This window comes from Homo sapiens, chromosome 1 (assembly GCF_000001405.40).
Source record: "Homo sapiens chromosome 1, GRCh38.p14 Primary Assembly".
In the NCBI taxonomy this organism is placed as follows: domain Eukaryota; kingdom Metazoa; phylum Chordata; class Mammalia; order Primates; family Hominidae; genus Homo; species Homo sapiens.
In genome coordinates this window covers 15,608,506-15,622,805 of record NC_000001.11, presented here as the reverse complement: position 1 = coordinate 15,622,805, position 14,300 = coordinate 15,608,506, and the positions used below count along the sequence as shown (strand labels likewise).

Below are 14,300 nucleotides of genomic sequence, written 5' to 3'. Positions count from 1 at the left end.
GTTTAAATAGGCTTAAGAGTCCAAGAAAGACAATTATTTTGCAGCAAAAGTCCCAAAATAAATCCATGTGATCTTCCAACCAAACATTCAGTATCTATTAGACATGGCTTCAAATCTCTACCAATAAAAACAAAAGGGGATCCGCTGCCGGCATTCTTGATCCTTCCACCATTCATGTTACCCAACTCAACAGCTACAAAGCCCAAAATTCAAGTTTTGCCAGTTATAAGAACATACAACAAGAAAATGTATACAGCTATGAGTCTTAATCAGCAAAACTGGCACAACTGCTGGTACTTACTCCAGAGGAGGCACCCCAGAGACTGAATTATAATCTTAATCAACATTTAACAATAGACTAATTAATAAAACTTCAGAACTTTTAAGCATGAGGTCAGGTGTTTTCTGGTCTCTGAATGAGAGCCTTCTATTAACAAAAAGCTTAACAATAAATTTCTAGCATTACAGAACATAAACTAGTAGGCCAGGTGCAGTGGCTCACACATGTAATCCCAACACTCTGGGAGGCAGAGGCAGGAGAACTGCTTGAGGTTAGGAGTTCAAGCCTAGCACTGGCAAGACCTCGTCTCAAAAAAAAAAAAAAAAAGTCGCAGCTACTTGGGAGGATCCCTTGACCCCAACATGTTGAGGATACAGTGAGCTGTGATTGCAACACTGCATTCCAGCCTGGGCGAGAGCGAGATCCCATCTCTAAAATATAAAGAATAAAGATAAAATAAGGACCATAAACCGGCCACAAAACATTTGGAATTACATCTGAATGGCTTCATAATAGTATTACCATTAATCAAATACCCAATATCTACCAAGTTATCTACATATACTACCCCATGTAATAGCCAATTTGACTTGTATAATCTAAATTTACTAAAAACCTTTCAAAGACTTTATGCTTTTGATCTGGCAACTGCATATCTAAGAATTCATCCTGAGAAAACAGAAATGGAGGCTACAGTCTTAAGTATATGGATGTTCATGGCATGTTACTTACAACTGCTTCCAATTTTCCCCAATATTATGCTCAACAAAAGGGAAATTGCTAAATTACAACACATCTATATGATGGTATATTATGTAGCCTTTAAAATTATCAATTTGGGGCCGGATGCGGTGGCTCACGCCTGTAATCCCAGCACTCTGGGAGGCCAAGGCAGGCAGATCATCCGAGGTCAGGAGTTTGAGACCAGCGTGGCCAACACAGTGAAACCCCCATCTCCAAAGAAAACAAAAAAATTAGTCATATGTCGTAGCATACACCTGTAGTCCCAGCTACTTAGGAGGCTGAGGTGGAAGGATCACTTGAGCCCAGGAGGTTGAGGCTACAGTGACCTGTGAGCGCACTACTGCCTAGGTGACAGAGCAAGACCCTGTCTCAAAAAAACAAACACACAGAAGATAAAATAGTGGTTTACAAACCACAAATCATGCTGTGTGCATTTCCAAGATCATACAATTACTGCTATTATTTGCCTTTCATTTGAGGGTCCTTGTATGTTGTGCCTACTTTTTCCATATGCCACCTACAGAGGTAAATTATCATGTCTCAAAAATATGAAGACATTAATTTAAAGTGAAGCTAAGTTCTGATAACTGTTTGAAGTTCACCCAGGCAAGTCTGCATCAAAGCATCAAACAGAGCCATGACTGGCTTCCAAGCCCACACTTCTATTAAGAGACAGAACATGCCCAGCTTTAATCACATGTACAAGCAGAGATGGCTTGTTCTAAATTTGTTATCACTGCATTGTAACTACTATCATCAGACTAGAGCTGTTAAAAATTAACACCTTTTCCAACTATATGCTTATGTGCAATTGACACTCAGGTGAAAGACTGAATTCTAAACCATTGATCACCAATGTAGGGCAGCCATGCAAGACAATTCTTTAACGGTGGAGGAAGAAACTGAAAATATTAGAATTTTCATTTCCATTTATTTTAGTTCGTCCTTCCTTAAGCTCCATTTTGTGTGTGTACAATGTTACTTTACAGATAACATATTATATATGCATATAATGCACGTTATGTGTATTATATGCACATGTGGCCATATATAATGTATACAACGTATCAGTTCATGTATATAATGTATTATATACATAACAGAAGCATAATCTGAAACATTTTACTGATAGGGATACATGAATGAAAGTTTGGACACCAGTGGTGTGGACACATAGTGGCAGGAAAAAATAGCCAGAACATAAAAATATATATATTTCCTTGAAGAAATGGAATCAGAAATGAGAGGTGAAGGAATGGGAATGGAGAATGTAAACAAGAGGAGGAGTTAAACAGTCTAGGAAAGGAAGGGAAGATGAGTAATATGAGAGAACCCTGGGAGGTAATGGGGGGGGACACTCAAGTAAGTAAACATGATATATTTATGGGTAAAAACTATAGTGATGTTTACTATTATGATTTGATGAAAGGAAATGACTCAAGTGTCTAGGGTGGATCCTGTTCCTGCCTGATGGGCAAGCAAGCAAGTGAAAGACAACCGACCACCAGACACCTTAAAATAGATACTGTGTTGTCAGGTTACAATGGAGCCAACAGAACAGACTGGAAAAACAGGAGCTGTTTATGGCTATCTAATACAGGCTTAACACCAGTTGGAGCCCAAGTTTCTATATGCTAATTTGGCTTGGGAAGGAAGTAAATGCCGAAACATTGACATAATGAACAAGAAATAATTTGGAGTTAGCCTATGTTCAATTACTAAGGTATTCCTAACTTTACCAACTGGCAGAGGGCAATGTCTGGCTGACCACACAATAAATCGTCTTTTATGATGGCTGTAACAAGAAATTTAAGTCAATTAAAGGGGGTGTCAGGTATCCCTTTGACTTAAATTTCTTGTTTCAGCCATCACAAAAAGTGCAGGAATGGAAACAACCTCAACCTCTGTCTTTTCCCAAGCCCTAACAACAAAATCAATTTACATTTTAATTTCTTATTTTCCCTACCAGCCGGTGATCATAACCAGGGTAATATAACAGCTAGAGGAAAAAACAATTGAAAAAGCCACTATCGGGCCGGGTGCGGTGGCTCACAGCACTTTGGAAGGCCGAGGCGGGCAGACCACGAGGTCAGGAGATCGAGACCATCCTGGCTAACATGGTGAAACCCCTTCTCTACTAAAAATACAAAAAATGAGTCGGGCGCGGTGGTGGGCGCCTGTAGTCCCAGCTACTCGGGAGGCTGAGGCAGGAGAATGGCACGAACCCGGGAGGTGGAGCTTGCAGTAAGCCGAGATCGCGCCACTGCACTCCAGCCTAGGCGACAGAGACTCCGTCTCGAAAAAAAAAAAAGAAAAGAAAAGAAAAGAAAAAGCCACTATCAAAAATTGAAGAGTTGTCCGGGAACGGTGGCTCACACCTGTAATCGCAGCATTTTGGGAGGCCGAGGCGGGCAGATCACTAGAGGTCAGGAGTTTGAAATCAGCCTGGTCAACATGGTGAAACCCCGTCTCTACTAAAAAAAAATTACAAAAATTAGCCAGGCGTGGTGGCGCGCGCCCGTAGTCCCAGTTACTCAGGAGGCTGAGGCAGGAGAATCGCTTGAACCCGGGAGACTGGGGTTGCAGTGAGTCGAGAACGCACCACTGCACTCCAGCATGGGCGACAGAGCAAGACTCCGTCTCAAAAACAAAAACAAAAAAAGAAAAAAAATTGAAGAGTTTATTTTCTCTATTTAAACAGTCCTTTCCTAGTTCTCCACATGAGGCATTCACTGACAGAACTGGTTCCTGAGCTTTTGTGGATTAACTTTTTAAATTCTTTCTGAACAGCTTTATGCCAAGGTTCTAAAGTTCACATTGTGTAAAGGAATCATACTTCTGAACAAAGTATTGACACGTGTTTACCATAAGACAGCAGAACAAGCTGCAGTTGGGCAATCGTTTTGTAAACTATTTCATAACTGCAGTAGAAAATCAAGATTTACTTGATGGAGACTTGGGAGACCTCTATAATTTTCTTAATGTTTAGACTATTTCCTCCAGGCTAAATTTATTAAGTCATGATCTAAGTGTTTTAGTGTAAAGTTTACAGCGTTAGTGTCACCGATTCTGTTTGATAAAGACTAGGGGCAGCCCCAAAGCATTTTGAGAATTACTTTGCTTAGTTAAAATATGAGAGGCTGAACTTCTTTCCAGCAAGCTGAGTAGGGAAATGAAACCACCAAACAGCACTGATACTAGGCCGTTTCCAAGCAAATATCCTTTTAAAGCATTGAGCTTTGAACTGACCCAAACTCTGAACTGTGACCTGAAAGAAAAAGGGCCTTCTGGCTTACTACCAGGGTAGAACCGAAACAAACAAACAGCTTGAGTTGAACCAATAGGTACTGTTTTTCAAAAGAATTTAACCAGAAACGCATGTGGTGGGTAAAGAGCATTTCCAAAGACCCCAAAATGAGGTAGTGCAAGTCTTAAACTTTTTCTTTCACCGGAAGTGCAAATCTGTGCATTTAAAGGTAAACTGCGTATATTTAAGCAGAAACCCTCTCCAGAAAAAAAAAAAAAAAAAAGCAGAGGAACATCTATCTACCACAGTGATCCAAACTGGTATTTCTGGTTTGCAGGATGTATGAATCCTAGCAAACCCAGGGCTGCTTCTGAGGTCCACAACGATATCCTACACTCGGGATTAGAAACAGGGAAGGGCCAAAGAGCCAAAGGTGGGGAGGGTTAGCGCTGCTCAACAGTCCACGCGCCCCTCACGCTGCAGTGGGTGCGTCTGCGGTCAGGTTCTCCGCTCCCTCTCCTCGTACCCCACCCCATGCTCGGAGTGTGTGAGGGCAGCTACTGATGCCAGCTCCCCAGCTCCTTTCCGGATGCGGGGGTGACCTGAGAATGGCTATCCTTGCTCCCCCCAGCCCCCAATTCTTCACCAGTAGCAAAGGGAGGGAGTGAGGCCCCGAGGCGGGGAGGGCTTAGCTCCGGGGCAGGCCCGGCTCGCTGCCCGGCGTACCTGGCTCTCGGCTGCGGGGATGCCAGACTCGAGCTCGCACAGCGCGCGGAAGTTGTGCAGCTCGAAGTCGGCGTCGACCTGGAGGGAAAAGGTCACCTCGGAGAGGTCCCTCCGCACACAGTACACGGTGAGCAGCATGGCCCGGGCCCGACCCGGCTCGGCTCGGCTCGGCCCGGCCTGGGCGCGGGGCGCAGGGGAAGAGGCGGCGGCGTGGCCTGGCTGGTGCTGCGGGAGGACGGCGCCGGCTGCTCGTTCGCTCGCTCGCTCCCTCCCTCACACACGCTCAGTGAGTCACTCCCTCCCGCCCTCACTAGCAAGCACGGCCGCCGCCACACGCCTGCGAGTCCGTCTGCCTGCCGGCCTGCCTCCCACGGCTGCCGCCAAGCGCGCCGGCCGCCCGGCGCCCCGCCCCGCCGCAACGCGGCTGCCGTAAAGCCCGCCTCGCCTTCCCCGCCTTCGCAACGCAGCGGGGGGCGGGGCCGGGAAGAGGAGGAGGAAGCCAGGAGAGGATAGGAGGGGGAGGAGTGGGAAGGGGGCGTGGAAGAGGAGAGGGAGGAAGGGCAAGAAAAGGGGAGGGAAGGAAAGGAACGCGGAGAAGGAAATCTCTGCTGACTGGTTGACTTAATGACAGAAGTCTGTGGAGGAGTCCCCGGTCTTATTTATTCACCGAACAGGCATTGATTAAGCGCCTACCATGTGTCGGGCGCTGGCGATGCAGAAATGAATAAAAGGATAAATCCTTCTCCGTAACTCTCAATCTAGTACAGGAGTTAGTAATAAAACATATTTTTCGAGGTAGAAATTGAGGCTCCGACAGAGTAATTCACTTCCTGTCTTAGTGATTTAGGATTGAAACCAAAATCATTACCCTCCCTAGTCTACAGAAGCCAGTTGGCTGTGGCCCACGCCTACCTCCCCAGCCCCTTCTTCCGAGCTCTTCCCACATTCTCTGCCCTCCCAGCCACATAGGTCAGTTCCTCCAAGGCTCCATTCCCCTGTCTTGTAAATAATTTTCTCTCTACTTGGACTGTGTCTGTTTCCTAGCCCTAGCAACTCCTACCACCTAGCGCAGTGCCTTTTTGGGCACAGCTTAGAATCTACTCAATAAATATTTGCTACTTTAATGGCCTGTTTTTAAGGCACACAGCTGATGAGTGGTAGAGGCCCAGAACTAAGGTGCGGATGAGTAAGAAAACCAAAACTGAAAGATGAACTTGTAATGGATGCCAGATTAGCATCTTTCCATTTACTCCCACTCCCCCTCCATGGTAGGGAGCCCTTTTCCATTTTAACAGGAGAGAAGGAGCAAATAAGATGGCTGTGGGTGCAGGTAAGTAGGTAGTAAGTAGGCTGTTGGTGGCAGGAAAGGGAGAATTAGCAGCTGAAGGCTTTTACAAAGAGAAATTAGAGGAGCTGGGCGCGGTGGCTCACGCCTGTAATCCCAGCACTTTGGGAGGCCAAGGCGGGCGGATCACAAGGTCAGGAGTTCGAGACCAGCTTGGCCAATATGGTGAAACCCCGTCTCTACTAAAAATACAAAAATTAGCCGGGCATGGTGGCGGACACCTATAGTCCCAGCTACTCGGGAGGCTGAGGCAGGAGGGTCACTTGAACGCGGGAGGCGGAGGTTGTAGTGAGCCGAGATCAGGTCACTGCACTCTAGCCTGGGAGACAGAGCGAGACTCTGTCTCAAAAAAAAAAAAAAAAAAGAGAAAGTAGAGGCACAGGGGAGTGAGAATGCTTATATCCCCTAGGAGCAACAGAAAGCTTGACTATCAGTGGCTTAAACAAACAAGGGTTTGTTTTCTCACAGGAGAGAAGGCCTGGAGGTAGCAACAGCACTGGTTGAGTGGCTCACTGAAATCAGGGCCAATACTTTTGTAATTGTCTTGACCTTTTCCTGAGGGTTGCAATATATGGCTGGCTGCCTCCACTGCACGCATCATTTTCCTATTCAAGGAAAAAGCTTGCCCAGAAGTCCCTGTGCACATTTTTGCTTACATCTCACTGGACAGAATTGTGTCACATAGATGCAAGAGAGGCTAGGAACGCAAGTATTTAGCTTTGCCTAAAGGACATAAATAGGGAAAAGGGGGGCTGGGAATGGGTATTAGGAAAGATGTACACAGTGCCTTCTACAGTGAATGTTTGAAATAACCATTGCAAATTGAAGCAAGTTTAGCTGAGAAATGTTCTAGGATTGCCCAGTGGTGGTATCAAGGAATCAGTTGAGGCTTGAATCATTGATTAATTGTTATATTTGGTCTAGTGGTGCTCAGGTTCCCAGGTCTGGCAGATTTTGTTCTCCAAAGATGACCATGACAGTGCCTCCCATCGTCTATGCTCTTCCTACAACATGATTGGATAACCCTCCCATTAAGAAGTGGGGTGAATGTCCCTCCCTTTGAATCATGGCTCGGCAGACTAACTCTGGCATAAGTGACATTATGTGATTTCCTTTTTTTTTTTTTTTTTTATCAAGACAGGGTCTGGCTCTGTCACCCAGGCTGGAGTGCAGTGGCACGATCATGGCTCACTGCAGCCTCAACCTCCAGGGCTCAAGTGATCCCTCCAGCTCAACCTCCCCAGCAGCTGGAACTACAGGTGTGCACCACCACACGCAGCTAATTTCTTTTTAGTAGAGATGAGATCTTGCTATGTTGCCCAGGCTTGATTTCCTTTTTATTATGATTTTACATTATTTTTAGTTAAAAAAAATAGGGATGAGTCCTTGCTATGTTGACCAGGCTAATCTCCAAATCCTGGCCTCAAGTGATCCTCCCACCTTGGCCTCACGAAGTACTGGGATTACAGATGTGAGCCATCGCACCCAGCCACTTTGTGTGATTTTTAAGGCTAGGTCTCGCCTGTGTCCACCTGGAGCCAGCAGTTCTCACCCAGCATCCAGCAATATATGCCAGACACCAATGGAGGGGACAAAGCAATGGTGGACAGGCTCAGGCTGGGGCTGCTGCTTCTGGCACTGCTCCTACTTATGCAGATTTATTCAAATCAAACTATTGTAACGTTTTCAAGTAACTCCTCCCAGGGTACCTTGTCTGCCCCAAACCCAGCTAATGCCACCACCAAGGCAGTTGGCTGTGCCCTGCAGTCAACTGCCAGTCTCCTCATGGTCTTGCTTTCTCTTCTATATTTCTACTGTTAAGAAACATCTATACTTCCGTGTCTTCTAAACCCATTCCAAATGGCATCTAGGAGTCCAATGTGGCAAGAAAAAAAGCGGGTCTTCATCAAATCTATTAATTTCACACCTTCTTTTACTGATACAGAAAAGGTTGAGAACCTGGCCAGGTGTGGTGGCTCATGCCTGTAATCCCAACACATTGAGAGGTCGAGGCAGGTGGATCACCTGAGGTCAGGAGTTTGAGACCAGCCTGGCCAACATGGTGAAACCCCGTCTCTACTAAAAGTACAGAAAAATTACCCAGATATGGTGGTGGATGCCTGTAATCCCAGCTACTTGGGAGGCTGAGGCAGGAGAATTGGTTGAACCTGGGAGGCAGAGGTTGCAGTGAGCCGAGATTGCGCCATTGCACTCCAGCCTGGGCAACAAGAGCAAAACTCTGTCTCAAAAAAAAAAAAAAAAAAAAAAAAGGCCAGGCGCGGTAGCTCACATCTGTAATCCCAGCACTTTGGGAGGCCGAGGCAGGTGGCAGGTGGATCACAAGGTCAGGAGTTCAAGACCAGCCTGACCAACATGGTGAAACCCCGTCTCTACTAAAAATATAAAAATTAGCCAGACGTGGTGGTGTGTGCCTGTAATCCCAGCTACTCAGGAGGCTGAGGCAGGAGAATGGCTTGAACATGGGAGGCAGAGGGTGCAGTGAGCCGAGATCGCGCCATTGCACTCCAGCCTGGGCGACAGAGTGAGACTCCATCTCAAAAAAAAAAAAAAAGGAAAGAAAGAAAGAAAAGGTTGAGAACCCCAAATTTAATTGCTTTGAAGAACACGTGAAGGGTTTGACTAGATGATGGATGCCAATATTAAATCTGCTTAAATGTCATGTACAAGATGAAGAGAGGCAACATCCAAAATTGAAGACATTATTTCTTGAATGTGGCTTAAGAAATGTGGACAGTTAAAACTACCTTGAAAATAAGAATAGTAGATCCTGAGACAAAACTTGGGTAATAAAAAAAAAATAATAATAAATAATAGATTTTATCTTGTTTAGAAATAAAGATGTAATATGGAGTGGAGATTCAGTTTTCATTTGGTTCATTAAGTCTATACGGCAGTAAAACCAGTAAAATAAAAGATTTCCATTGGCAGGGGTGGGGGTGGCTCATACCTGTAATCCTAGCACTTTGGGAGGCCACAGCAGGAGGATCGATTGAGCCCAGGAGTTTGAAATCACCCTGGGCAACAGGGTGAGACCCCATCTCTACAAAAAAAAATTTATTTTAATTTAATTAATTTATTTATTTATTGAGATGGAGTCTTGTTCTGTTGCCCAGGCTGGAGTGCAGTGGTGCGAGCTCAGCTCACTGCAACCTCCACTTCCCTGGCTCGTGATTCTCCTGCCTGAGCCTCCCAAGTTGCTGGGATTACAGGCCTGCACCACCATGCCCCGCTAATTTTTATTTTTTGTTTTTCCTTTCTGAGACACAGTCTCGCTCTGCCATCCAGGCTGGAGTGCAGTGGTGCGATCTCAGCTCACTGCAACCTCTGCCTCGCAGGTTCAAGTGATTCTTGTGCCTCAGCCTCCTGAGTAGCTGGGATTACAGGCACCCACCACCATACCTGGCTAATTTTTGTATTTTTAGTGGAGACAGGGTTTCACCATGTAGGCCAGGCGGGTCGCAAACTCCTGACCTCAGGTGATCTACCCACTGGGCCCCCCAAAGTGCTGGGATTACGGGCATGAGCCACTGCACCTGGCCATAATCTCCTTTTTTTTTTTTGAGGCAGCGTTTCACTCTTGTCCCCCAGGCTGGAGTGCCATGGCACGATCCCAGCTCACTGCAATCTCCACCTCCCGGGTTCAAGCCATTCTCCTTCTTTAGCCTCCTGAGTAGCTGGGACTACAGGAGCATGCCACCATGCCCAGCTAATATTTGTATTTTTAGTAGAGATGGGGTTTCACCATGTTGGCCAGGCTGGTCTCAAACTCCTGACCTCAGGCGATCCAGCTCTCTCGTCCTCCCAAAGTGCTGGGATTACAGGTGTGAGCCACCGTGTCTGGCCCACAAATTTAAAAAAAGAGGTGGGCATGGTGTCACACACTTGTGGTCACAGCTACCCAAGAGACTGAGGTAGGATGATCACTTCAGCCCTGGAGGTCAAGGCTGCAGTAAGCCATTATCATGGCACTCCAGCCTGGGTGACAGAGCAAGATCCTGTCTTAAAGTTTAAAAAAGCTTCCATCGGCTGGGTGCAGTGGCTCACACCTGTAATCCCAGCACTTTGGGAGACCAAGGCGGGTGGATCACAAGGTCAGGAGTTCAAGACCAGCCTGGCCAAGATGGTGAAACCCCATCTCTACTAAAAATACAAAAAATTAGCTGGGCACGGTGGCAAGTGTCTGTAATTACAGCTACTCGGGAGGCTGAGGCAGGAGAATCGTGTGAACTCGGAGGGTGGAGGCTGCAGTGAGCTGAGACCGCACCACTGCACTCCAGCCTGGAAGACAGAGTGAGACTCCGTCTCAAAAAAAAAAAAAAAAGCTTCCATCATTCTATAAATCCTCAATGTATTATTTCAGCAGTACTAATTTAATGCCAATATATTAAGTTTTACATTGTTAGGCTATCACTGTTCTTTTGGTAACTGAATTCTTTTTCCTCTGAGGATTTGGATTTGACATTGCATTTGACCTTTTATTTAGTAATTGACATGTGCCAGGGCAATGATAGACTGCAATCTACCCCCAAGTCCAAGCATCATCAATAACTCTTGTTTATCCTTAGAGAGTCAAATGGTAGGCATTTCATTTCACCTATTTTCGTTCAACAAGGACACCAGATTCATTAAGGGGCTGGGTGCGGTGGCTCACCCCTGTAATCCCAGCACTTTGGGAGGCTGAGGCAGGTGGATCACTTGAGGTCAGGAGTTCGAGACCAGCCTGACCAACAAGATTAAACCCTGTCTCTACTAAAAATACAAAAATTAGCTGGGCATGGTGGTGTGCCTGTAATCCCAGCTACTCAGAGGCTGAGATAGGAGAATTGCTTGAACCTTAGAGCCAGAGGTTGCAGTGAGCCAAGATCATGCTACTGCTGTCCAGCCTGGGAGACACAGTGAGACTCCATCTCAAAAAACAAAAAAAGATCTGTTTTGAAGGTAAAATTATAAACCTTGAAATTAAAAGGGCAAAAATGTAAAGGAGCCAAAAACTGTATATCAAGTATTTGGAAAGTAAAGACTGAAAGTTAACTTGCATTAAAGTCACAAAAACTTTTATACTCTTTTCTTTTTCTTTCTTTCTTTTTTTTTTTTTTGAGATGGAGTTTCACTCTTGTTGCCCAGGCTGGAGTGCAATGGCATGATCTTGGCTCACCGCAACCTCCGCCTCCCAGGTTCAAGCGATTCTCCTGCCTCAGCCTCCTGAGTAGCTGGGATTACAGGCACGCACCACCACGCTCGGCTAATTTTGTATTTTTAGTAGAGATGGAGTTTCTCCATGTTGGTCAGGCTGGTCTTAAACTCCTGACCTCAGGTGATCTGCCCGCCTCAGCCTCCCAAAGTGCTGGGATTACAGGCCTGAGCCACCGTGCCCAGGCTATACTCTTTTTCTGTAAATGCTTTTTGCAAACAACAACTATGGATCAGAATAGCTGCATTTAAAACACATTTTGGGGCTTTTTTTTTTTTGAGACAGAGTCTTACTCTGTCGCCCAGGCTGGAGTGCAATGGAGCGATCTTGGCTCACTGCAACCTCCGCCTCCCAGGTTCAAGTGATTCTCCTGCCTCAGCCTCCCGAGTAGCTAGGATTACAGGTGCACAACACCACACCTCGCTAATTTTTGTATTTTTTGTAGAGACGGCATTTCACCATGTTGGCCAGGATGGTCTTGAACTCCTGACCTCGTGATCTGCCCACCTCAGCCTCCCAAAGTGCTGGGATTACAGGCGTGAGCCACCGCACCCAGCTGGGGCCTTTTTTTTTAAGAGACATGGTCTCACCCTGTTACCCAGGCTAGAGTTCACTGCGGCCTCAACCTCGTGGACTAAAGCAATCCTCCTGCCTCAGCCTCCCAAGTAGCTAGCACTACATGCGTGTGCCACCATTCCCAGCGAATTTTTATCTTTTTGTAGAAATAGGAGTCTTTCTATGTTCCCAAGCTGTTCTTGAACTCCTAGGCTCAAGCAATCCTCTTACCTCATCTCCTAACGTGCTGGGATTACAGACATGAGCCATCATGCCCTGTTTGAAACACATTTTGTTATGTCAATATTTTTAGATAGTTAGAACCTGGTCCTAAACCGCAAAGTAAGCTTGATTCTGTAATAAAAATGTTTACAACTGTCTTGACACACAGAAACCTTTTTAAAAATAGACACTCCCTGAAGTCCTTTGTTCACAAGGTCACACACTGATGCTTATGTGTTCCAGCATCTAATATGGCCACAGTAGTCTTTTTTTTTCCATCTTTAGAAACCTACACGGGAACAGCAGATGGAACAGATCTGAACCCACTCCACTGTGTGTGTGAATGAACACTCCCTTTTGCTCCATGCCGAAATGCTGTACATCTATTTTGGATTGTATATTTGTGTGTGTATGCTTTGATTCATAGTAACTTGTTATGAAATTGATTTGTATTGAATACAAACTGCAAATAAAAATAAATCAATGGCTGAAAAAAAGTCAGTACAGCTTCTCCGTGATTCTCTTGGAACGCTTGCTCTTGGAACCCAGCAGCCATGCTGTGAGGAAGCCCAAACTACACCACACGGTGAGACCGCATGGAGAAAATACGTGTGGTTGTTCCAGAAAGCTGCTCAGCTGAGGGGAAAGCTGATTAGCGGGAAAACTCACCAAGCACAGAAGTGAAGACACTTTCAGATGACTTCAACCCCCAGATGTTGAATCATCTCCAACTTATGAGTCTTTCCAGATGAGGCTTCAGACATTATGGAGCCGTCTCCACTGTATTGCCTTTGAATTTCTGACCTACAGAAACTATAAGCATAATAAAATAAAAATACAAAGTAAAACCAAAATGAGATACCACTTTATGCTCACTAGGATGGCTATAATAAAAAAGACAGAGTTGGGCGTGGTGGCTCATACCTGTAATCCCAGCACTTTGGGAGGCCAAGGCAGGCAAATCACTTGAAGCCAGGAGTTCGAGAGCAGTCTGGCCAACACGGTGAAACCCCATCTCTACTAAAAATATAAAAATTAGGCCGGATGCGGTGGCTCATGTCTGTAATCCCAGCACTTTGGGAAGCAGAGGAGGGCGAATCCCGAGGTCAGGAGTTCGAGACCAGCCTGACTAACATGGTGAAACCCCGTCTCTACTAAAAATATAAAAATTAGCTGGGCATGATGGTGTGTGCCTGTAATCCCAGCTACTTGGGAGGCTGAGGCAGGAGAATTGCTTGAACCCAAGAGGTGGATGTTGCAGTGAGCCGAGATCGTGCCATTGCACTCCAGCCTGGGTGACAGAGTGAGACTCCATCTCAAAAAAATGAAAATAAAAAAATAAAAATTAGCCGGCTATAGTGACATGCGCCTATAACTCCAGCTATTCTGGAGGCTGAGGCAGGATAATTGCTTGAACCCTGGAGGTGGAGGTTGCAGCGTGCCGAGAATGTGCCACTGCACTCCAGCCTGGGGGACAGAGGGAGACTCTGTCCAAAAAGATACTCAAAAAAAAAAAAAAAAAAAAAAGGCAGATGATAACAAGTGGTGATGAGGATGTGGAGAAATAGGAACCCCTAATAGACTGCTGGCGGGAATGTAAAATGGTGCAGCCACTTTGGAAAAAAGTTTGACAGTTCCTCAAAAAGTTAGACATACAGGATAGGCACAGTGGCACATGCCTATAATCCCAGCACTGTGAGACTGAGGTGGGAGGATCACTTGAGCCCAGGAGTTGGAACCAGCCTGGTTAACATTATGGGACCCCATTTCTTAAAAAAAAAAAAAAAAAAGGTGGGGGGGCCAGGTGCAGTGGCTCACGCCTGTAATATCAGCACTTTGGGAGGCTGAGGCAGGTGGATCACTTGAGGTCAGGAGTTCAAGACCATCCTGGCAAACACGGTGAAACCCTGTTTCTACTAAAAATACAAAAATTAGCTGGGTGTTGTGGCACACGCCTGTAGTCCCAGCT

At 45.8% G+C, this 14,300-nt stretch overlaps 1 protein-coding gene and 1 pseudogene across 1 annotated transcript in view, besides 1 other annotated feature; one reads left to right on the top strand and one right to left on the bottom strand.

The window, feature by feature from the left end:
- DDI2 (DDI proteasomal shuttling factor 2) overlaps nucleotides 1-5,348 on the bottom strand; it is a 51,587-nt gene extending 46,239 nt beyond the window's left edge. The window contains exon 1 of the mRNA NM_032341.5: nucleotides 4,998-5,348. Within this exon, the coding sequence (NP_115717.3) occupies nucleotides 4,998-5,135 (138 nt within the window). The 5' untranslated portion in view covers nucleotides 5,136-5,348. The remainder of the gene's footprint in view (nucleotides 1-4,997) is intronic.
- Nucleotides 5,025-5,594: a silencer, noted in NCBI's record as "silent region_309". NCBI's record gives its function as "represses an Ori minimal core promoter by ATAC-STARR-seq in GM12878 lymphoblastoid cells {active_cell/tissue: GM12878}" and the evidence as "EXISTENCE:reporter gene assay evidence [ECO:0000049][PMID:35858748]".
- Nucleotides 7,860-12,824, top strand: CD24P1 (CD24 molecule pseudogene 1; annotated as a pseudogene).